Genomic DNA, 26,871 nt, shown 5'->3' with positions numbered 1-26,871 from the left:
GATGTAGGTGAGGGAAGGAATCTTCCTAGCATTCCAATTGTATCTCTAAATATATTTTTACTGATTGACTTGGGAACCATGTATATTCTTATTTATAAGATAACACAACCTGGATTCCATTAAACTTACAAATAAACTGTGAAAACCCTTCTTAAGTTGGAGACTCCATAGACATACAAATATTACTGCCACTGTTAAAAAACACCAGCTTATATTTTTACTACGATGTGAGAGTGTAGCATAAAGTCTGATGCTCAGGCTAAAGAATGTCAAATGATAATAGCAGGAAGAAAATTCCCAAGTGTTACAGAATTTCTCTCCTTGGTTTATAACCAAGAGAATCTAAAACATATATCTACACAAATACTTGTATGTGAATGTGCATAGCAGCATTATCCGTAATGGCCAAAAAGTTAGAATAGTCCAAAGGTTCATTAACTGTTGAATGGATAGCCACACGATATAGCCATACAATAGAATATTGCTCAGCAAGGAAAATGAACGAAATACTGTTATATGCTACAACATGGAGGAACCTTGAAAACATTATGCTAAGGGGAAGAAGCCAGTCACAAAAGGCCTATAATGTATGATTCCATTTATATGAAATGTCCACAATAGACAAATCTATAGAAACAGCAGATTGGTGGTGATGTGGGGCTGGAAATGGGAGGGGGAACTAACTGTAAATGGGCATGAGGGAATGTTTTGGGGTGATGGAGTGTTTTAAAACTGGATTGTGGTAATAGTTGTACATATCTACACATTTGCTAAACACATTCCAATGATATATTTACAATGGGTAAATTATACTTCAGTACAGCCGTTAAAAAACACTTAAAAATGCCCCCAAAGAAGTCCCACAAAACTTGAAAAGAGGTTAACTATCTAAGAATATAGGGCAAGAATACAGGCATCACACATCCACCCTCGTCCCCGGCATATCGTCACATAAGACACATGTACCTGGTTTGATAATCATAGTGCTGAGGCGTTCCAAGCATCTGTGTATTCTTAACATGCTTGACAAAAGAAAGATGCACTTAACTTATTAACAGCATCCTGACAATCACACTGACAAAGAGAAGTCTGAAGAAAAACTTTAAAGTAATAAAAGTTCCTCTGTCATGTATAGCATGAAGATGGACTGGCATCAAGGTCTATTTTAATGTTATATTATTACTGGTCAAACCCTTTTTACCTGGCTGACATTTAACAATAATTCATGGTAAGTTGAATGATACTACAATGGCATCCATTCCTCTCTATGTAATATGTAAATATATCATACTAATGTTTCAGTGTTTATTGATCAAATATATAAATGACCATTTATATCCAACCATTTTCTTATCTCCCAAATCCAGACATATTATATGAGAAAAATTAGTGTATGGACAGTGATAAGGTTTGGATATTTGTCCCTTCCAAATCTCATGTTGAAATGTGATTCTCAATGTCGGGGGTGAGGCCTGGTGGGGGTGATTGGATCATGAAGGTGGATCCCTCATGAATGATTTAGCATCATCCCCTTGGTGATAAGTGAGTTCTCACTCAGTTCATGCAAGATCTGCTTATTTAAGAGTCTGGGACCTCTTGCTTCTCTCTCTCTTCCTCCTGCTCTTGTCATGTGATGTGTTTCCACTTAGCCTTCCATCATGACTGTAAACTTCCTGAGGCCCTTACCAGAAGTGAAGCAGATGTTGGCCCCATGCTTACTATACAGCTTATAAAACCATGAGCCAATTAATCCTGTTTTCCTTATATATTACCCAGTCTCAGGTATTCCTTTATAGTGACACAAGAAACATCCTAATACAGATAGTTAAACTAACACCAGACACAAACTTTTATTGGAATATTTTATTTACATTTTATATTTAAAGAGAATCAATACAAATTGGGACATATTTACAGCATTTCAAATCAGTGTACAAGAATGCAATGGTTTCATCCATTCAGCAAACAAAAATACATGTCTGTTTTATTTTTGCCTAAATTCTGCTATAATTTGAACAAAATTCTAAAACAAAAGCCACACAGAGTACAAATAAAGTGCATTTTTAAATAGCTCTATTTAACTTTGGTGGATGAAGCTTCAAACTTTATATTAAGGCACCTGGAATTCTCCCCCCCTTCTTTTTCAAACACCAGGAAAATGCATTCACAAAATTTATAGTTACACGGACAGAATTTTAGTTTATCTAATGTAATTTTAGCCCATTTAGGTCAAACATAAACTCAATTTTCAAAGTAACATTGTTTGGAAAACATTTTCAACAGACTAATTTTACAGAACATTTTTTTTCTGTAGACTAATTCATGAACGAAGATCAATGACCAATATTAGTGTTACTTACTCTGTCATTAGCAATTTCAAACAGTATGATGATTCATATACTGAGCTTTTGAAAAATCCCACAAGTTTGAGAAATAGTTACACAGTATTTTTGTAAGGAATTTTTTGTCTAATCTTGTGTCAAGTTGATGTCACTAATATACCAATCAATTAAGTCCATAATCTCTGATAAACTATGGTTGACAAATCACATGAAGTACATTCAGCCTAATTTTAAAAATAAGAAAAAGTAAAAATGAATATTTTGCTTTAATCTTTTCTATTAACTTAAAGCAGCTTAAATAGACATTTCAAGAAGTACTCGCCTAAGTTTGCATTGCTTTTTACATTACAATTCCAGATCAATATAAGCACCTGGAGAAAAACCCTGACACATGTAGCCCAAGCTAAAGAAGTAGTATTTTTCATTAAGATACTATCATAAAATAAAGTGATTACAGCTACTCCACATTTTAAAAGCAACATGTTTTTATAAGAAAATTGTTATAAATGAAAAACGTGACTTCTTGAAGACAGTTTTGAATGTCTAAAAATGTTGTTATCACTACTGAGAGGAAACTTGCCTATGAAAAATATTATAATGAGTTTGTGGAAAAAAGTTAACAGGTTAAATATTTTAAGCCATTTAACTATAGCATAATATTAGTCATCTGAGCACTTTCAGTATCACTCTTATTTTATTAAATTTATCCAATTTATTAATAGAAACTAGGCCCTGATTGGCAGTTCTGTTATTACTAATGGTTCAAGTTTTCTATTTACACAGATTTTAAGATTTAATTTCTCGAACAGCAGTCTCTTGATTAGGAGTTTCGTCTTCTTCAAAGGTTGGGTTGTCAACATGAGGAATAACATCCACTGCCACAGAATTTGCTTCATGGTTTACCAGCTGTAGACTTTCATCTTTAAAAAGAAATAGCAATTTTAGGATGATTTTGCCCCTCTCCTCTTTTAAGACAAAATTCAACATTTACTTCCAAGAAGTCTTTCTTATTTAATTTCAACATACACTGATTACCATATTCATTCCCTGTACCTCTAATAATTATATGATTTATGCTATATCTTACATAAAGCACATATGGCATTATTATATTGATTTATAATTGCTTTTTTGATTCACGTACATGTGCTTATTTCTACCTAGATTATAGCCTCCTTAAGAGCAAAAATTATGTCTTCTACTTCTTCCTTACCTTAAATATAACAAGCTGTTAAATCTGGCTATACATTTCAATCACCTGGGCACTTAAAAAATTACCAGTGCTTCTTCATTCACATAAATATAGATAGACAGATTTAAAAAATCAACCAGGAAGTTGGAAGGATGCCCAAAATTGAATTGAATACAAACAGTAATAAATGAACTTAATTGTATTATAAATGAAATACATAACCATGTGAAGAGAATGGGGAAGAAAACAACTAAACTTAAATAACTTTGGAAAACAGTATTTTGACTCTAACCTGTAAGGCTAAAAACAAAAAGAACTGTACACTAGTTACTGACATTGTTTTACACAGGGGTATGTGTTAGCAATGCTGAAACTATTTTATGTATATTCTATAATTGAACAAATAAGTAAAAATACTGTGGATAAAAAGAATATTTCTCCTTTCACTGTCGGAGAAAGGAGTTACAAATAAATAAAGGGGGAGGCTAGAATGAACCCTGTAGTGTGGGATTGGAATCAGATGTATTAGTAGGGTCATTGTTTTTCAGATAGATAGATAAAATGACAGATAGAGAAATAATGTATATGTATGTGTATATTTGTGAGAGTAAATACATATATTTTCTAGTCTTGTTCACTAAAAGGGCCAATAGCAATGACACCCCGGTAGCAATAAGCATGCCCGTTGCTCAGATCCTGGTTTTGAAATACTATTCTCCAGTAAAAGGCCTCCTGAAGAAGTGGCTGATTCTAGGGCTAGGAGAGGGAAAGTACAAGGTTAACCTAGATTTTAGCCTAGGGGCCAGCAAACTCCAGCCTACAAACCATAGCTAAAAGTGCTTATCATGGTTGTAAAAGGTTGTAAAACAAACCAACAAAAACAAAAAAATAAGAGTATGAAAATGAAGACTTAAGGCCTTCAAAGCCTAACATATTTACTATGTGGCCCCTTACAGAAAAAGTTGGCTAATCCCAGACCTAGAACACCTTGTGTTACCAGAAAGTAAGAAAGTTGAAAGAACACAAAAACCAACTTGAACAAGTTCCCAATGACCAAATCTAGGATGATATGAGCAAGGGATAAACGATGAGAATGATATTATAGAATGAAAGAAACGTCTAGGATCCTATAGTACAATAAATAAATAACTCAATAAATAAATGGAGGAGAAGGAAGAGCTCTTCCTTATATTAGAAGTTTAATCAATAAATGTACAAAGAATGATGCAAACAGAAAATCACCATTTGGTAAATACTTCAATAATTACTGCAAGCAAGAAGCATCAATGATTGCTAAAAGTAGTGGGTAGAAGTATGATAAGTACCAGGACATTTGTGTAGTCTCCAAGTATCTCTCTATAAGATATTTAATAATTACAAAGGGAAAAATAGTAACTTTAAAGGGAGAAACCTGGCAGACACCACCTCAACCAAGTGGGCAAAGTTTGAATCATCACTAATAAGACACCAACATCACGTGCTTCCTGGTATGATATGGGGGCACTGAAAGGGGCACAACATCACTTCTGTAGTATTCTTGACAAAAATGGACAATAAATTTAATCACTCGGAAACAGCAGACTAGCCCAAATTGAGGGACACTCTAGAAAATAACTGACCAGTAATCTTCAGAAGTGTCAAGGTCATGAAAGACAAAGACTGAAGAAGTGTCACAGATTGGAGACTAAGGACACATGACAATTAAATGCAATGTGGGATCCTGGGACAGAAAAAGGACGTTAGTGGGCCAGTTGGTGAAATTTGAGTCAAGTTTATAGTTTTGATAATAACATTTTATCAGCAAATTTCCTGGTTTTGATAATTGTATATGGTTATATGTTAACATTTGGAGAAGCTGGGTGAATGGTATATGGGCATTCTTTGTATTATTTTTGAAACGTTTTTGTCAGTCAGTCTGAAATCATTTCAAATTAAAATAAAAAATACCTGTGCCCAGGCCCTGCACCTCATGTTAAATCACAGTTGCTCTGAGGTACAGTCCAAACATCAGCAAAGTTTAAAATCTCTCCAGGTGATTTTTATGTATAGCCAGGATTGACAGTAGGGCCCTTATTCAATGGTTCTCAAAATGTGGTCCCTGGACTAGTAGAATCAGTATCACCTGTGAACCTGTTAGAAACGAAAATTCCTAGGCATCACCCAAAACCCACTGAGTCAGAAACTCTGGTGGTGACCTTTCCGTTTTAATAAGCCCTCCAAGTGACTCAATGAATACTTAAGTTTGAAAACCAGTGCTCTAATAGAACTTAGCCCAATGATGTGACACACGACATGAACTATGTGTATTTACAAAGTTATGCAAATCAACTATCACCATAAGAATCAATGGCTAATACGCAAGATTCTTAAACTAGTAATATGTAATCCCAGACAAAATTAAATCTGGTTTAAGTGGTAATTCATTCAACATAAATTTGAGTATCTACTATGTGCTGGGTGCTGGATAGACAACAGTGAATATAAGACACTGTTCTTATCCAAAAGAACTTTAAAAGTTTTAATACAACTCAGTGTAGTAAGTGCAATGATCGAAGTTCTATGGAAGCCAACAGTAGGGCCATCACATCTAGTCAAGAGAGGCTTCTCAAAGAGGTGTCAGTCTTAAAGGAGAAACAGGAGTTATACTGGGCTCCCCTAACTTCTTGGGTAAGGAAGAATGGAAGGAATAGGCAAAGAGAAGATAGTGGCTCAAACTATGACTGTGGAATTAAGGTTGGAAATTAGGGGACAGAATTGAGAACACAGAAGGGGAAGTGGGAAGAATTTGGGATGTCCCTAGTTTCTGGTTTGGGGCGGTTGGGTGAGTATTACTATCATCCAAATTAAGAATACAGGAGGAGAAACATGGATCATTATTTCATTTGCTTTTCAAATCTCTGCAAAATCTGTTGTGCTTACCTTTTTCCCCCACCCCACCCCTACCCACAGAAGAACAGAACACAAAAAGAGTAGATTGGAATGTTGTTTTTTAAAAGACTAGCAATAAATTATCTCGTACACTCTCTTTTATCTTTACTGAATTCTATTACCACACAATTATGAGAGTACAAGATCATCTGGGGCAATCAGACAATGATTCTCTATTACAGGTAGAATAATCCACAGATTATTAAGATACTTATAACTAGTTTATATTCAAGGGAATGTCTGAAGATTAGATATAAGAAATACAAAGTTTGCCTTTGTGTGGTTATATTCATTGTGATATCTTCAGAAGTGGTATCTATGGCACTGATAAGCCTATAGAGGACAAAGGTTTATATAATAGGAAGCTGAAAGTTTCATAAGTCATCTTGACAATCAGTTTTTGTTTTACTTTTATACTAGAATTAAATTATCTCAAAATGAGGATTGAGAGAAGACTTTCAAACCAACAAAAACATGGAAAAGATTGAGGTAAAAGAAAGGGAAAATAATTTTTATAGGGGTTTTATCTTTATAGGGAAAAACAGAACTCCCTAAAATTTCTCATTTGGCATAAAATTACTAAGTTGCAATACAAATTCACATGAATTTTGAAAATGATATATTCAATTTTAGTTTCTAACAGTTTGTTCATTTCACGGTAAATAGTCAACAGGTGGCAGCACATACCATTCTTAAACAGTTTCCTACTTGCAAAACATGGGTTCCAGAGAAGTTGGGTATAAATCAAACTTTTATAAATTGAATTCTGTTTTATCATTTCAGAACTCCTTTATTTTAATTTCTGCTTTATCTGCAATAAACAATGGCTCCTAAAGTTTAAAGTTTCTCCTTACCCTCTGTAATTAGTTAATAAGCCAAGATTTAAATGCATCAGAGAGAAGCTTTCCAATAAATCTTTCTTTTGTAAATAATCCCCACTCTGATGCATTTCATCTATTTCAAATACATTTGAATATATGTATATTAAGGTAGGGGTGCATCCTTCACGGCATTATTTTAAGTAGAAAAAACCTGGATCATGATAATGGCTGAATGGAACAAACGCTAAAAAGCAAGAGTACTATACAGGCATATGATCTACAATGGATTGCAGGGCACTCGTTAACCTTTAGTATGATGCTTACTTGTTGACTGCACGTGTTCCTCCAGAGGCGGTTCATCTGTTCCCTGTACTGAAGCATATCCAGATGATGCGGTCTCGCTGCGATTATCCTCTTCATGGGAGGAGGCACTATTAGATATTTCATTGGATACAGGGACTTGTAAAGACACTGATCCATCTTCAACATCCACCTTTAAAGAACATGTAACAAATTAAAAGCCTCTCAGTGTACACGCTTTTCCTCGACATATCACTTCAAAGTTTCTTTATAGGTGACTCATTGGAGCAATATTTCTTAACCTTTTAAACCTATGATCCCTTTTGATGATCACAAGTCTCTTGTTAGCCCCAGTCAAAACAGAGTAACTGGGTCCACCAATGGGATGAAAGATGCTATAGGCGGAGTGCACTCTCATCTGGTATGTTCATTTGGGTGATACCAGCACTTCATAAAATAATGCTGGGTACAAGTTAGGCCCTAAAAAAACATCATGCTGTCCCCTATGGAACTTGAGAATCATTGTCATCTATGTACCTTCCCAAGTCAAGATTTGAGCTCGATTTTATGTTGTATCTTGAAAATAGGCCTTTTTTTCATTTACCAAATATAAAATTATAATTTAATATTTATTATGCTTTCTCAAATTATGTCTGCTTATTTAACTACAAGTTTGGTCACTATGCAATAGTAAAAGATTACAAAAACAGAAAGAGGGATGCCAAGTTGGTGGTTTATATGGTTATCATTTCAAATTCTGACCAAATAATGAGTCTATTTGGAAAGAGGGAGGAAGAAGGAAAATGGAGATGGCCCAAGATGGCACCTCATTGTCTATATGATATAAATATGTCTGGTTTTAGGTATAAACTATAAGTATGGTGTATTACATAGCGAAAAAATAAGGATGTTATTTTGTTATTTTCTCCAAAGCCCAGGCATATATTCTTCATATAAATAACATATTAATGTTTACCTCAATTCCCAAAGCTTTGAGTATGTCACATTTGCACATGGGGCAAGTCCTGTGTTCTAACAGCCATGGGTCAACACATGTCTTATGGAAAATATGGCTAATTCAGGAAAAAAACATAATTATCAGTTGTAAAGTAGCAACACTTTACCTAATATATATTAACAGATTACTTAGTGTAACTTTATTTAGTCTTTGAATGGATGCCTTTCCTTTTAAACACACTATTCATAAAATGAAGGAGTCACAGAAACAAAATTTGGAAATTCCATAATACGGTACTTTTAAATGTAAAAGCCTCATTACTCTAGCTCCAAAAAAAAATATTTTCAGTACTCATTTGAAAATGGCTAGGACACTACCTGACCTAAGACTTTGTTCATTATTTCAAATCTTAAACAGTTAGAATTCCCTAACTGATAAATGGTACAGTCATTCTCAATAATATAGTCCAATATAGTATTGAGTACAACAACACTGTACTGATGCTTTAGGCAATGTGATATGTTCCAAGAGCATCACTATTGTATTAAATAGCTAAAAGAAGTAGTGTTAAGAACAACCTTCAGGAGAGGGATAATTTAAAAAACTAAGGAATGAACACTTTCAAACAGATGCATGATTTCATTTTATTTTTTTCTTGATGGATTAGAATAAATTTAACATTAATCCAGTACTGTCCTTATATTTACATGTGTAACTATATATACTACATATTATAATATTATATAGTATATATTATATATAATGTATATAGTGTATAATGTATATAATATATACACTATATTATATATAGTGTATAATGTATATAATATATACACTATATTATATAGTGTATAATGTATATAATATATACTATATATTATGTAGAGTATATATATTATATAATGTACATATATATACATAAATATATAATATACATATATACATAATATAATATAAATACACATAAATATAAGGATAGTACTGGATTAATTTTAAATTTATTCTAATCTATCAAGAAAAAATAAAATGAAATCAAGTTATGAGCATCTATTTGGAAGTGTTCACTCCTTAGTTGGAATTTATATATATGTATTATATATATACAATTTACATATATGTATAATATATACACAATTTATATATATGTAGTATATATACACTATATACTATATAGTATATAGTATATATAGTATATAGTATATATATACTATATACTATATAGTATATATACACTATTGTATACTATATAATAGATAATATATGGTATATTATCTCACTATATAGTATATATACTCAGTATATAGTATATATACTGTACATATAGTATATATATGTACATGTACATATACATATATTATATACTATACACTATATAGTATATATACTCAGTATATAGTATATAATGTATAATATATAATATATTATACATTATATAATATATAATATATAATACATATTATATGTAGTATATATAATTATATATTATAGTATATACAGTATATATAATTATATAAAATATGTATTATATATAGTATATATATTATATAGTATACTATGTATATTATATACTATATTTAAAATATACTATATATAAAATATATTTATATATAACTATATATTATATACTATATTATATAGTATATATAATTATATATTATATACTATATTATATAGTATATATAATATAGAGTATATGTATTATACATAATATACTATGTAAGATATATACTATATAATATATAAATATATTATTATATTTAATATATAATACATATTATATATATTATAATTATAATTATATAATTATAATTATAATATATAATTACAATTATAATAATATTATATATATTATAATTATAATAATATTATATATAATATATATTATATATTATATATTATATATAATATATATTATATATAATATATAATATATATTATATATAGTATATAATATATATTATATATAGTATATATAATATTAATACATATTATATAGTATATATACTATATATAATATATATATAATACATATATATCAATTGTGCTGGCTAGGTTCTCAGTTTTCTATGGAATTAGTTTAGAACAAATTGAAGCAGATTACAATTAGACTTATACCAATTTCAGTGGTATTAAGAAATGAATAAAAATAAAAATAAACCATTCTATATTTAAATGAAGATAAGTTAAAAAATAAACATTTTTTACATTAATTTGGAAATATTCAAAATAGTTTTCTTCCATCACAGTCATTTTTGTGGGTCAGCTATTTTATTGAAGATATAGAAGAAAATCAAACTTACTTGCACGTTAAGATGCGTACCAAATCATTTGGTTTATACAATTCAATGCACACAGCACAACTATCTCCATCAGGGCCAATTTCCTACAAGCAAGTAGTTATTGTTACTCTGACAGATAAGAAAAAATACATTAAACTACAGAACAAGATCAGAACATACATGTACTTAACCAGCCTAAATTCCTATAAAAGGAGGAGCATTATATCACTGAATGATTATGTAACTGTAAAGTTCCCAAAGGTGATTTAAAAGTATCCAGACTTTAAAAAGGTAAAAGAATAAACTGAAACAAAAGGGGAACAGAACAAAGGGAAACATGTAGCACTGATTTATTTTTCCTGATTTAGGATATATAAAATACCATTTGTGCAAGCTCTATAACTTTTCTCATTTTTAAAAAATTAAGGTATAATTCACATACAGTAAAATTCACCCTTTTAGTGTACAGTTCTGCACGTTTTGAAAAATATGTCGTCACTTAATCCTTATCACAATCAAGATATAGAATAGTGCTATTACTCCCAACAAACTCCTCTAAACTCTTTGTAGTTAACCTTTCCTCTCATCCCCACCTCCTGGCAACCACTGATCTGTTTTTATAGTTTTGGCTTTCCCCGAATGTCATATAAATGGAATCATGCATTATCTAGCTTTTGAGTCTGGCTTTTTAAACTTAGTATAATGCATTTGAGATTCATCCATAATGCTGTATGTATCAATGGGATTCCCATCACACTTTTATTGCTAAATAGTATACCATGATATGTATGTACCACAGTTTATCCATTCACCAGTTGAACAATATTTGGCTTTTTTCCAGTATTTGACAATTATGAATAAAGCTGCTATGAACAGTTGTGTTTTTATGTGAACGTAGATTTTTTCTCCCTTTAGGGTAAATATCTAGTAGTGAGATTGCTAGGTGCTATGGTAAGTGTATTTTTAACTTCATAAGGAACTGCCAAACATTTTCAAATTGGCTATACATTTTGCATTCTCACCAGCAAATGAATGAGTGTACCAGTTGCTCCAAATCTCGCCCAGCTCTTGGTATTTTCAGTTGTATGCATTTTAGCCATTCTAATGAATGCGTAGTTGTATTTCATTGTGGCTTTAATTTGTATTTCTTTAATTATTAATGATGTTGAACATCTTTTATGTGTTTATTTGCCATTCATATATATATTTTTTTGGTGAATTGTCTGTTTTGCTTGCCAGTTTTCTATTAGGTTGTTTGTATTCTTACTGTTAAGTTTTAAGAGTTCTTTATATTCTGGGTACAGCCCTTTAACAGACATATGATTTGCAAATATTTTCTCCCAGTCTGTACCTTATCTTTTCCTTCTTTTAACAGTGCCTTTCAAAGAACAGAAATTCTTAATTTTGACAAGGCCAAATGTATCAACTTTTTTCTTTTTTGGACTTGTTTTTGGAGTTATATCTAAGAAATATTTGTCACCCAAGTCATGAAAATATTTTTCTTTAACGTTTTGTTCTAAAAATTTCATAGTTCTAGGTTTTATGTTAAGGTCTATGATCTATTGAAATAATGTTTACATAGGGTATGAAGAATGGATTTAAGTTCTTTTTTGTCTGTTTGCTTGTTTTTTGCTTAAGGATATCCAATCACTGCATATGGATAGCCAACAAAGGGCTATCCTCCTGAAAAGGCTATCCTTTCTTCATTGAATTGCTTTTGCACTTTTATGGAAAATCAACTGACCATATATATATGGGTTTATTTCTGTACTCTCTCTTCTGTTTCTTTGATCTATAAATCTATCCTTTTTCCAATACGACACTATCTTGACTGCTGTGACTTTAAAATAATTCTTGAAATCAGGTAGCATGAATCATCCAAAGTTGTTCTTTATCAAAATTGTTTTGTTCATTCTAGTTCTTTTGCATTTTCATCTAAGCTTAGAATCAGCCTGTCAATTTCTATAAAAGATTTACACTAGGATTTTTATTGAAACTGCATCAAATCCATAAATTAGTTTGGTGGGGAACCGACATCTTAACAACAGCAAGTCTTCTGACCCATGAACATGGTATATGTTTCCATTTATTTAGATCTTCTTTGATTTATCTCTTTCATTAGTGTTTTACAGTTTCATGACTTTGGTAAGATTTAAAATGGTGTATTATTTCCATAAGTTCTATAGCTATTTTTTGAAATACATGTTTTACCCATGAATGGTAGTTTTCAACTGTCCTAAATCTGAAAATGCGTATTCAACCAAAGTAACACTAAAGCATTGTATTAGTTTCCTGTAGCTGCTGTAACAAATTATCATAATTCAGTGGCTTAAAACAACACAAGTTTATTCTCTTACTGTTCTGGAAATCCGAAGTCTATAACCAAGGCATTGGCAATACTGCACTCCTTCTGGAGGCACCAGGGGAGAATCCCTCTCCTTATCTTTCCCAGCTTCTAGAGGCTGTCTGCATCCCTTAGCTCCTTGCCTCTTTCTTGTATCACCCCACCCTCTTGCTTCCCTTGTCACATCCCTTACTGTACTGTGGTCAAATCTCCCTCTCTCTCCCTCTTATAAGGACACTGCAATTATATTTTGAATCTATCTGGATAATCCAGGATAATCTCCCCATCTCATGACCCTTAACTTAATCATATCTGCAAAGTCCTTTTTGCCATATAAGGTAATATGCACAGGTTCAAGGGAATAGTTATCTTAGATATCTTTGGGAGGCCATTATTCAGCCAACCTCTAGAATCAAATGCATATAAAGTCAATAAGGTTCATAAATGCCAATAAAAGCATACTTAGGAAGAACATTTAGCCTGAACAATGGCTTGGTAGCACTGCTTTAAAATAAATAGCATTTAAAAGTCATGAATGTACCTTGTCTCCTTGTTTCAGTGTGCGTAGTTGAAGCCTTCCAATAGCTTTTTTAGCATCTGCCTTTAATTGCCTCTGTAAAAAAAAAAACAGCAGGTATTAGAAAAACTATTTTTTAAAAGAAGTATGATGAAAAAGATAGAGAGGATCAATAAATATTTATCAGGTAAAAGTCAATGTACAAATCAATTTTAAAAGATAAAACTTAATTAGCCATAATAAATGTCCCATTTACCTGATATAAGGCAGGATTTTCCAAGTTACTGAGACTTTTTACTTAACTTATGTTTCCCTACTTTCTTAAACAATACTGTTGGGACCATAATGGTAAAAATACATTTCCCCCACCCCTAATGGATTCAAATACTATGAATTTTCAAAGCAATCTTCCTATTTGCAAGCTCAGAGGACATTAATATGCATTTTTTTTCCAATTTCCTTTTTGAATCGTGTCTTGTTTGGTGGAAAGTGCATAGGATTTGGATTCCAATGGTTCAAAATCTGACTTTATCACTTACTCAATGAATAACCCTGCACGAGTCATTTAATTCTTTGAGCTTGTTTACTTATCTATAAAATGAGGGTAGTACCAACCTTTACACTGTTTGGTATTAAGAAAAATATTGGTGCTTATAACCACGATTGCTTAATGAAGAAGATTGATTCTGAGAGTGGTCGCCTTTTATTGTTTCACTGAGCATATATCTAGATGTGTCTGGATATGCAAAAGCAAGCCACAGGCTCATTTATGGAATAAAAACTAAAACATTATGCATAATTGAGTCAGAAGTGAAGTTGGGGTGTGGGAAGAATCTACCAGGTGAGGGAAAGACTATAAAGAGAGTCTATACAGTTCAATAACACATTGTCCCTCTATGTATGGTGAACTAGCCAGAGGAAAAAATCCCAGGTGATATTTGTTAAGATATTTGTCAATTTGAAGTTACTGGTGATGCTGCAAATACTTCATTCCCCTTCACTAAGGTCTACTACAGACAGGAATGCCTCAAGTGAATATAATATACATATGAATTGAAGTAGTGAATATAATATACATATGAATTGAAGTAGAGGCTAAGTATGACACTTGGTAGATGCTGTGTTGAAATGGTGAATATTTGTCCCCTCCAAATCTCATTGAAGTGTGACCCCCAATGTTGGAGGTGGGGCGTGGTGGGAGGTATTTGGGTCATGGAGGAGGATCCCTCATGAAGGGCTTAGTGCCATCCTTATGGTAATGAGTGAGTTCTCAGTTCCCGCTGGTTGTTTAAAAGAGCCTGGCGCCTGCTCCCTCTCTCTCCCTGTGACACGCGTGCTTCCCCTTTCCTTTCTGCCATGATAGGTAGATTCCTGAAGCTTTCACCAGAAGCGGAGGTTGGCGCCAAGCTTCTTGTATAGCCTGCAGAACCATGAGGTAAATCAACCTCTTTTCTTTATGAATTACCCAGCCTCAGGTATTCCTTTACAGCAACACAAACCCGACTAATACATGTGTGGAATATAATGGTAGCATGTGCAGCATGGCAAGATAAGTGATCTTTCTATTTTGAACTGTAAAATGAACAAACTTAGAAATTCGGCAAAAAGTAGGCCCCCAGACCTTTGGGAGAATGTAAGCAGCTTCCCTCCTATATGTACCCCCGTCCCCAGCTGACATTTATGTTACATGAAAATTAGAGATAATGTAAGTATTTAGTATAATGTCTGGCATATAGCAGATACTCAATAAAATGTTTATTACACAAAATGTAAACTACCATTCATCAATAAGCATAACAGGTACTTGCCAATATATATTTGCTACAAATGCTACAAATATTTGTAGCAAATATATTTTGGAAGGTAAGAATCTATAAGTATCAGTAGGTGAGGAATCTCATTGATGCCCAAACCTGTCTCCTATATAAGATATCATTTTGTGGAAGATATTTAGCTTAATGCCAAGGAGAATATTAGCCAAAGTATTTCTTTGCTGTCACAGGAAAAGCAGAAACCTCTCAGATTATTACCTGACCAGCAAATAAGTCTAACAGAAACAGTGAATAGGAAGGCCTAGACCCTAAAAAGGAAAAGAGGTGATAATCAAGGCACTTTCACTCCCATTTTGGGACATAATTGTGAACTAAAAAAATTCTATGATGGGACTTAATTTCAGCACAAATATCTTCCCTTCTATTTTGTTACTTGTAAGATAATAATAGAGTGACAGTGAACAAAGGTACACCTAGGATCTTTAGATTACCGAGCCCGACATCTAATCAGACAGAGAAGAAAACTGATGCTCAAAGAGGAAGAATGTCTTGCTTGAAATATCAGAGCTAGTGTCAGCCCCACTGAAGTCCAGAGTTATATCAAAGTAGCTATCTGTTTTGACTGTAGCATGGAGTAGGAAGCTACTCCTACCATTTCCTTACAATATACAGTTGTTATACAGTTTAAAATATATTTTTTATATCCATTACCTCATTTAATCCTCACAACAACCCCCAGAAGAAGGTAATATCCTCATTTTAGAGATGCTCAAGTGGAGGGTTGAAAAAGTAAAATAACTTATTCAAAAGGGAATGCAGCATCTAAATAATAAAGCTGGTACTGGAACTCTGCTCTTCATATTCCAAGAGTCCATTACAATACAACCATCCATAACTCATCTGTCTTTTGATGTTTTTCTAGCTCCTGGATTCTAGGGTCTGTCAAACTGTGGCAATCCTTCCACCTGTATGCCTACAGGGTCCTGGCCCTGGCCCACACACCTACACTTCACTACTTTCTTTCCACATAGATCATGAGTCAGTTGGACATCGAGATGAGAAAAATGCAAATGATAAAAAAATAGAGCCAGCAAGAAGAAAGGGGAAAAAATGTAATGTAGTTGATGATGTCTTTCACAATCGTTTTGCTCTTTGTGCTTAAAGCAATTCTAATTTAGGTTTAGGCAACAAGCTGTATCACACAGTTGGGGAAAGCTCTCATAAGGAATTGATACCTCTCTAGGGTATTTACTTGATTCAGTCTATACAGTCTGATTTCTCATTGCAAAATATTTGATTCAATACAATATAAATGTCTGAATCTCCAGTGATAGTGCTTATCAATTTATTAGGCATTAATGCCAAATATATAACTTTCTTAATTATAGCCAAGACTATAATGCAAATTAATTTGAAGTGTGGGATCAAAGGGAAACTTTGTATGTAATGTCTGAGTCTATGCCCAGGAGAACAGTAGAACTTGCATTAAGGGCGATGCTAGAAAATGATGGTGGGGGAGAATACAAAAAATAAAAAAACAGGGCCAAATCCAAAATGCCAGAAGACACTAGACAAGAGATTTGATTATAAAGGATCTCTAAAAGATTTGCAGCATAGCATAAACTAATGTTTAACAAAGCAGCCTTAGAATAAAAATGTGTTTAAAAGAAAATTTGAGTATTTTCAATAGCTCCTACTGGGCTGATATAAAGAAAAGCTATTTTCTTTAAATATGGATGCAAGACAAGTGATTTAATAAAAAGCACAAACTATTTTTAGAGCTTAAAGGAAAGTCACTCACAAAAAAACTGCCTCACGATATTCAAGATAGTACTCAAGATATTTCACTGTGACACTGATAGCAAGAGTTCCAAGATGCAAGCCTCCCTCTTAAAAAAACTGAAATATGAGAACACCATTAGGGCCCAGTAGATTATATTCAACACGTGTTTGAACAACATTATGTCAACTTTACAGTGCCCAAATATACCTCAACATTTAAAGACAATATGCCCCATGTGAACTGTAATTTGTACCTTACTCCTTAAAAAACAGAATTTCAAGAACATATCTACATTATACAAATTACATGAGATACTTTTCCAATGCCTTGCTACCAGATCAGAATTTCCTTAGTCTATAAATTCCAGTAACACATTATTTCCACCTCTTATCTTGTTCAGTAATTGTATTATTAATGTGCCTTTCTCTCTTGAGTAGCTGGAGGACTGGGCCTTAGTCACTTAGAAAAAAATTCCCCAGTGGCTAGAGTTTGCTCAAAAATTATTTTCTGAATTTAGAAAATATAAACAGACTTTCTTGATTTTCTCATGCAAGACACTTCTCATTTCAATTATTAAAAGTCTCTACTCCATTAAGTTTGGGGAAAGAAAGGTTTACAAATTAATTGAACCTTTACCATGTGTCAGGTTGTAAGCTTTTTACATGTGTCATCTTGTTTAATCATTAACAACATTGTGAAATAGCTATTTTAATATCCAAGTTTTATAGACAAGAAAAGTAAGGTTCAGAAGCTTGACTAAAGTCCAGACAGCTGGTAAGCTTCAGAGCTGTGATTCAATTCAAGCCCAGGTTCTATCTGGCTTTAAAGCCCATGATCTCTCCACTATTGTACACTGCCTCCATTGTGTAATGGCAAAGAAGCCTTTAAGAGGCTTCACATTTCTTGTGAAGAAGACAAACGAAGGAAATTTAAAAACCCCTTTAAAGCCAGCAATTATCCAATCTTAAAATTCTTCCCAAACTGGCTATTTACTGTGATTTGGGGAATTTTAAAAAGCAAGTATATGATGTCAAACGCCTTTTGCCTTTCCCCTCCTCCTCTCTAATCCTAAGAGATACCTGGTCTAAGAATATTTGGCAGTAGAACTGAAGACTGATTCAAAGAAGCTGGTTGTTGGCCAATTTTCTTAACAGAAGCTTAATGTGACTATTCTGACTAATCAAAAGCTGCATTCGCTCTAGTTAGTGAAGAATCTCCACTACATGGTTTTTTTTCTTGATTCTGAATGGGAATATATTGGGGTTGATGATAAAATGTCAAACCAATGATCATTCTTTATTACAATGTTCAATTTTGAAATTATGGTGAAAGCAAAGATATTCTACCTAGTTCACTGGTGTCTTTATATCCAATTAGGTAAAGTATATGTTTCAGTCTGGTGATTTTTCAGCCTGATTTTTGGTCCCAGGGCGTTCAGCTTTTAGCTTAACTGAAACCCACATGAATAGTATTAAGTATGTAGTCAAACCTAATTACTTGATGGAGGACAGGGTGTGCAAAAAGCAAGAAAGGAGAGAGATATAAGCAAACTAGATTTTTCTGTACTTAAGTCACCATATTTTAAAAATAAACATTTTCCTAAAAATTTGGCTAAGAGTTTTAACACAAGATATTTAAAATCAAGAATTATAGTAAGAGGATTCTTTTCCTCAGATATATTCCTAGGACAAAATAAAAGTCTGAGCCATGTAGCTGTTTAGGTATCTGAGAACTGAAAGAAATCCATTTTATTCAATAAAAACCTATCCACAATATTTGAGTGAAAATATTCCTACAGGTAAGAGGAGGTGCAGGCTATAAAACAGCTTCCTATAAATCTATGGAACTACAGATGAGGGGATAAACAAGAGTGCAGACCACTCTCATGAAGAACATAACTGTGAGCAGTGTAAGGAAATACACTATAAGGAAGAACAGTGAAGAAAGGGTGAATTTGACTCAGTAGATAGGTTATAGCTCAGATTACAGCATTTTTTTCAAAGAAATGTGATTAACACCCTTTAGAATTTGTGGTATAACTGCAAGTTTGTATCGTTTGACTAACATCTCCCCATTTCCCCAATCCCCCTGGCAACCACTTCTCTGTTCTCTGCATCTATGAGTTCAAATTTTTTAGATGAATAAATCCTGAGGATCTTATTTACAGCATGGTTTACTTGAAATTTGCTAAGAAAGTAGATCTTAAGTATCCTCAACACACACACACACACACACACACACACACACACACACACACGTAACTGTGTAGGGATAGATGTATTAATTTATGTCAATCATTTTACAATTTATATGTATATCAAATCATAATGTTGTACACCTTGAATATATACAAATTTTATTTGTCAATCATACTTCAATAAAGCTGGAAAAAGAATTAGTGGTATAAATTTAAAATTAGAGTAAGTGAATATATAAAAATCCTGAGACCCATTATAAGAGCTTTCTTTTGTTCAGTGAGAAAGTCAGAAGAAATATTGTAAAACTAAGTCTTACTTAGACAAGGATTTAATCTGTTCTTCTTATACAAGAGTCAAAATTCTCATGGTTTCTGTAAAAGACCCTGAACTACTCTCAAATGTAGGCAGAAATAGATACATACATGTGAACACACCAACTGCAAATGTATATATGTTAATAGTGGTACAGTGTGCAGGTACTTAATGAATCTTCCAGATAATTTCGTGTACTAGTGGAGTAGAAAAAAACTTAATGTAACCAGAAATAGTTTAGATAATTTTTAGTAATGCTTTAAGTTGAAGGACAGATTTTAAAATATTAATGTAGCCTAGTCCTTCCTCATCTGAGAGCACACAGGAGTGCTCTTTCTGTCTGGCAGCAAACTACAGAAATGTGTGGCATATCTCTGCCCAGGGAACCAATTTAAGTGTTGGGGTCCAAGACTCAGATGAAGGGACTGCTTACTAGGTGCATCCTGCTAGCAACTGGCCATGTTGCCGGAAACTGAGGACCCCAACAATGAAACTAGGATATCATCAATCTTGATTGTTGTGAAAAGCAACTCTGACAGGCTGGTACAACATGGTCCATTTTTCCAGGTGTATATAACAAAATTATCAATCACTAACATAAAGACCAGTTTGAGAGCCACATTCCCAGGGTTGGCCAGGGGCCAATCATGGTTCCCTTGGGGACATGGAAGGAGTAAGCAACTGCATCTGTTGTGTTACCTTTTTCCTCACAATCCATCCTGTTGGTCAAAGCCTTTTTATAATAAAACTTTCAGTACAGTAACTGTTTGTACAGTATTTATATATTATCACTTCAGTTGGTACAGTAGTCAGTATAGTTACTATACAGTTAGCATAATATTTATAAACAGTGTACTACATACAGTATACAGTTGACCCTTGAACAACATGGCAGTTATAGGCACTGACCCTCACACAGCCAAGACTCCACATATAGCTTTTGACACCCCCAAAACTTAACTACTAATAGTCTACTGTTGACTGGAAGCCTTACTGATAACATAAACAGTTAATAAACACCTATGTTGTATGTTATATAAATTATATACTGTGTTTGTACAATAAAGTAAATTAGAGAAAAGAAAATGTTATTAAGAAAATCATAAGGAAGAAAAGAATATATATTTAAAGACAGGGTCTCACTGTCACCCAGGCTGGAGAGCAGTGGCATGATCTCGGCTCACTGCAACCTCTGCCTCCCGGGCTCAAGTGATTCTCCCACCTCAGCCTCCCAAGTAGCTGGGACTACAGGCACATGCCACCATGCCTGGCTAATTTTTCTATTATTTGCAGGGACAGGGTTTTGCCATGTTGCACAGGTTGGTCTGGAACTCCTGGGCTCAAGCGATCCACCCGCCTCGGCCTCCCAAAGTGCTGGTACGACAGGTGTGAGAGAAAATAAATTTTATCTTAATTAAGAGGCCGTGGATTATCATGAAGGCCTCCATCCTTCTTTCTTCACATTCACTAGACTGGGGAGGAGGAAAAGGATATATTGGCCTTGCTGCCTCCGGTGTGGCAGAAGTGGAAGAATATCCGTGTAAAAGTGGATTCGTGTGGTTGAAACCCAAGTTGTTTAAGGGTCAACTGTATATACTGTTCAGTTAGCACAGTATTTTTATATAAGGTGCCATAAGAACAACACAAGTCTATCTAATACTTGCAGAAGCCAACAAGGAGTGGAAACAGGTTCAAAGGAACAATTCATCCAGTTTATAAGACCATCACAAACATCTTTACATTATTATACCAATTTAATTATCCATTTATTCCCTTGATCTATGGCCACTTGAACTTTGTGATAGACTTGCACAGAGCAATTTAATATAGTAATGAACTAAATCATTCTACTTCTTCTTCATGCCAGTCACTCTCCCTTGGTATCACACTGTGAGGAGTTTTTAGTTCAATGTCTCAAATATATTTGATTACCATATGATTTATTTATATAAGATAGTTGAATTTTACTAACAATACCAGTATTACACCATATCAGAGCATGGTTATGATACAGTTTGGTTTGGTTACAAAAAAAATCCGGAAATGTCACAGAAATATTTATTAAACCTTCCTAGAAGAATTAGCCTTTGCCCATATGCCAGATATGATGAGGAACAAATGCTGTCACCAGTTGCAATCATTCTGTCATTTCTAGGTTCCATGTTAGCTGGGGACAAAGCCAATCATTTGTCTCAACTTATATTATTATCAAGTTATAGGTTCCTGTTAACTTTGTACAGCAAGGCCATTTCCCTCCCATGGGAGTACATGGGTATCATTCAGTATTAGTTCTATTCCTACTAGCCTTATTTTGGCCCATCCTTTGGTCCAGATCAGTCAGAGATCAGCAGTGCAAGTTGCAATTTTACAAAAAAAAATTCCATAAATTTGAGGATCTGCATGTGTCTCAAAGATTCTCTGCCTGAGCTTCTACAGCTAAAAATGGAAGGTCATTACCCCCATGGCTACTTGGGGATCACTTTTAAGTAAAATAGTTAATAGATTCTGTTGTGTTAGAGTATATTCTCTTTCCCAATATTGATTCCTAGCATTCTCTAGCATTATGTGTTGGGTCTGTGTGATCAGTTTATCAAAGCTTTATGACCTTTGCAAGTGGATTCCCATTCTTTTCCCTCCTCTTGGAAGATGATTTCCTTCTAATCTGTCTATTTTAGTTAGTAAATCCTTTTCTTCTGAAAGCCACTCTTCATTAAAAGTAAATTCAGCTTTTCACATTATATCTAGGCCAGCTCCTATTTCACCTACAGCCCTCTTTTGTTTCACTTGCCAATGTTTAATCCAACACATGCATTGTGGCTATTGAGTATTAACTGCTTGAATACAGTTAGGATACATTTACGGTACCCGAAAATGTTTGGTACTCCATGCTAGAGTCAAGTGTATAGTGGTCACTCCTGAATGTAGTTTAATTTGTGTATGCCATAAGGTTTCCCATAATCTTTCTTGTCTCAAGTTAGGGTTGTTCCCGGAAGGGACATGAAACTAACTTATAAGGCCTAATATGTTATTTTCATTTATAATCCATTGATACTTTTTTGTTCTGTTTAAAAGCTTTGTATCTAAAAAACAGGGATGATATGTGTTCTTACACATCACACTACAACATATGAGGCTATTCTGTCTGGGGGCTCATCTGAGCATTCAGTCATCAGAATTTATGGTTACAGTTATCAGTTTCCTGACATTATATACCATGTATCATAACCTTCAGAAGGAAGAAATTCTTGAATATATTAAATTTGCCTAACATTCTAATGAAGCCAAATTTCCATAACTCAGCTTCATCATCATTTCTACCAGTAAAATGGAGATAATATAGTTAAATGTTTAGTGATAATTATAATCAGCATATGCATTAAGCTCTACCTTTTAAAAATTAATACTGTCATGAAAATTAAATATATAAATGACATTCTAGCACTCTCAAATATTTATAAGCAAAAAGGATTATCAGCCATATATTTAATCTTTTAGTCCTCAAAGGATAAACAGATATAGTCCATTAAGTAATTTTTAAAAGCCCCTTCAAAAGCCTTCTCCAAATAGATGAGAAGTTTTAATGCTATTCTTGACCATTTCTACAGAGGTTAATTATCATAAGATGTATTATAAACTATGAAAATTAAATGCGTAGACCAGAGCTAAATGTCCAATGAAGCTCTGTAACACCAGACAAAGTTCTTTATAAACCTTATTATTTTCTGATGGGGTTTAATGCCATGTCAATAAATTTATTATAGCACTGAGAATACTGAAACACATACCCCACCATGAACATATGCAAACCAAACACTCTTGTCATTGTAACTATAACCTTTGAATAGTTAGTCACACTGGACACCAATTTCCTTCCAGCCTCGCAGATAAAAAACCGCACAATATACAAATGTCAAATATTAACACAGTGTGAAACTACTGAGTGGCCTGGTACAGGAATTTTAAACATCTTTTTGACTGCAGCTAGTATCAGGCTGAACCTGCCACCAATGTGATAAGCTGCTTCTCTAAGGAGAAGGATAGAAGCCAATTAACTTTAAACACTGAGATAACCATCACTTATTACCATATGCTGGTATCTAATCTTTATGAAGTTTTTATAATAAAATTTCAATTTCTCATCTATTCCTAAATTAAATTAACTTTCTTGCTATATAAAAATCCTCACTGCTCCTTCCGCCCCCTAAATAAATTGAGTTCCTTTTCACTTATTGGAGGAAGAGTACATGAAGTGACCAGAAATCGATCGCCTTTAGAGAAACTGCTCAGTACATATAAAAATGTATTTTCATCTGAAAGCATTAAATCCCTACTGAGCTTTCTAAAGAAGTGGCACACCATTCCGCTGTTATACTGAGAATACCTGAAGGGAGGAGGAGGTAAGAAATTATGGTGGCTTTGACTGGGGCAGAAGCAATGAAGGTAATAAGAAATAATCAAATTCTGGATATATAATGAAGGTAGAAATAATAGGATTTGCTGATAGTTTACATGGGAGGTGACAGAAAAAAAGGAATAAAGAACAACTTCAAGGTTTTTGGCCTGGGGCCAAGAGAAAATCTTTTGAAAATGGGAGCAATAATACTATGTTTGCATGTTGGTGGAAAAGATGAGGAGGAGAGGGAGAAATTGTTAAAGTAGGAGAGTGAGAGAGGAAAATTTCTGGAGTGATGTCCTTGAGTATACAAAAGACAAAAATAATCTTATACCTGAGTGAAAGAGTTAGCCTTTGCAAAGGAACAGTTCATCCATAAAAACAGAAGACAAAGCAGGGGAATAGGATAGACGCAGATGAAGATAGATGAGAAGATGTGGAAGTATTATTGATTGCTTCAATTTTCTCAGTAAAATAAAATACAAATTGAGAGTAAAGTTGGAGGAGGTGTTGGAGAAAGGGAAAGGAACACATATGGTTATCCAACAGTAGGAGAGTAAATGGCCAAGAAAACATAGTGTGATTCCTGGGTAGCATTAAGGGCCCACTCTGATTTTACGGTCACAAATTTAAAGTGAGATCAGTCAGTACAGCTGTAAATGCCTTTCTGATACTTCAGTTGTGCAAGGTGAAGACATAGAGTAGGTGGGAAGTAAATTTAACCAGGGTTGGATTTGTTTTTCCAGCAACTATAACAAAGAGAAAGAAGGGCCACGGGAACTGAAGATGTATGCATGGGAGTAACCATGGAATTTAAGCTGGGTAAGGAGAAATGTGAGCATATCAGGGGGCTGAGGGGGACAATTTAATGGTGGCAGGAACAATGCCATACAACCATAGGTACTTTACTGTTCAGTAATGCTTTGGTATTTTTGCTCTGTTGTTTGTGTACCTTGTACCTTTTTATACACTGTTATAATATGGTAGAAACTATTAATATTTGACTCCACTTGAAGCCTAACAATATATCATGCACAATCAGATCTTCTACCCTGCCTTCTCAGCCTAGTCCCTCTTCTCAGCCCCATCCCCACATGCAAATACAGACGTACATATAAAATAATAGTGGTTACCTTTGGGCGATGACTATAGTTATATTGCTATATCAGGTTTTAGGTGAGTTTTTTTCCCGTGTACTTTCTAATTTCTAAGTTTTCTATATTGAGTATGAAATGTTTTTGTAATTTAGAAAAAAATGTTTATTTAAAAGAACATATGTATTTACACCTATATGTAATTAAATGCTGGATGTGTTCTCTAATGAGGTGTTAGAAAATTTAATCAGGTAGGATTAAGTTCTTTGACAAATATAGAAAATAAACCTTTGAGAAGAGCTGACATACTTTTAAAAACTACCAGATTTTGTAAAACATATGGGGAGATCATTGTCTAGCAAGTACAATGTATTAAAATGCAGGACCCTGAAACTACAATTAGAACAGTAAATTTTTTTTAATAGTGGAAGAAAGGACCATTACAAACCTGCTTCCTGCTTTGAGCTCTTGCATTCCGTAGCCTTCGAGCAGAATAAAAGATAAAATAGCCCACAGTTGCCGCCGTAATAATAAAAAAGGACACAGAAACGAAAAAAATTGAATAGTGATTCACCCAAGGGCCATGTTTTTTCCCTACTTCTATGACCATTGTCACTTGTATGCCTCTTTGAATAGATTGCAGAATTTTTGTGCCTTTCAGATTGCCGATCATGATTGCAACAATGTCTACTGCACCTGTAAAATAAAACAAATTCAGTTTTAGTTTGGTGAAACATTCTTAGTATAATAACCCAATTGCTAAAATGATTTTAAATGGGTCTCAATGAGACAAAGGAAGGATACCCATTCATTCAATTAACATTTTTGAGCACCTACTATCTATATGAAAGTTGTAGGTTATATAAACACGCATGAGATTTGGTTACCGATTTTAGGGAACTCATAACTTAGTAAGGAAGCTATTATATACAACAAACACCTCCCCCTCCTCAGATTAACTATCTATAATTCAACAGTATTGCCTTTGAGACCCAATTTGCATCTTATATGAAGGCTTGCTTAAAGACAAATAGTCCCCCAAATTGTAGAAAATAGGGCTTATATGATAAGGAATCTAAGATTTGGGGAATACAGAAATATTTCCCAATTTATAAGATGATAAATTATCTCAAGAGCTCACTACTAGCATGTATAAGGATTTACATATTGGGATAGTAATTTGAGCCAAACAATGTTTACAAACCCAAATGTACAAACTACATATGTCCATGATGTACCATTTTTCTATATCCTCAAAAGCAATATAAAATTTGCTCAAGGTGTTCTAAGGTTTTACACAGACGTGATCAGGTTAGCAATGAAGATAACATATAGAAATGCACATTTCTATTCACTACCTATTAAAGACAAGCCTAAACTAAGACTAATCTTATTACTAAAGGTCTAATTATCTAAAATACTTACCTCTCTACCACCAATTATATAAGTTTTGTGGAAAAAAATAAAGTACAAACATTATCTTTCCCAATGTTAAAAGAATGTCAGATTGCTCATGCCATTCCAATGCTTATCAAGGTTTATATTCCCTCTAGTTTATATGACCTGAGACCAATAATCTTAAGCAAAAGAAGAGCACTTATTGAATGTTAAGGTATAACCAACTAGAGAAACCTCCCA

General features: G+C 33.6%; 1 protein-coding gene across 2 annotated transcripts in view; it reads right to left on the bottom strand.

Annotated features, from left to right (window-relative positions):
• RNF128 (ring finger protein 128) overlaps positions 1,826-26,871 on the bottom strand; it is a 103,179-nt gene continuing 78,133 nt past the window's right edge. For both annotated transcript variants that reach the window (NM_024539.3, NM_194463.2), the window contains exons 2-7: positions 25,682-25,929; positions 13,706-13,777; positions 10,842-10,924; positions 8,560-8,656; positions 7,608-7,776; positions 1,826-3,262 (exon numbers count right to left, since the gene is read on the bottom strand). In NM_024539.3, coding sequence (NP_078815.3) covers positions 3,129-3,262; positions 7,608-7,776; positions 8,560-8,656; positions 10,842-10,924; positions 13,706-13,777; positions 25,682-25,929 — 803 coding nt within the window. In that variant the 3' untranslated portion in view covers positions 1,826-3,128. The remainder of the gene's footprint in view (positions 3,263-7,607; positions 7,777-8,559; positions 8,657-10,841; positions 10,925-13,705; positions 13,778-25,681; positions 25,930-26,871) is intronic.

This window comes from Homo sapiens, chromosome X (assembly GCF_000001405.40).
Source record: "Homo sapiens chromosome X, GRCh38.p14 Primary Assembly".
Taxonomy (NCBI): domain Eukaryota; kingdom Metazoa; phylum Chordata; class Mammalia; order Primates; family Hominidae; genus Homo; species Homo sapiens.
This window is presented reverse-complemented; position numbering and strand designations above follow the sequence as displayed.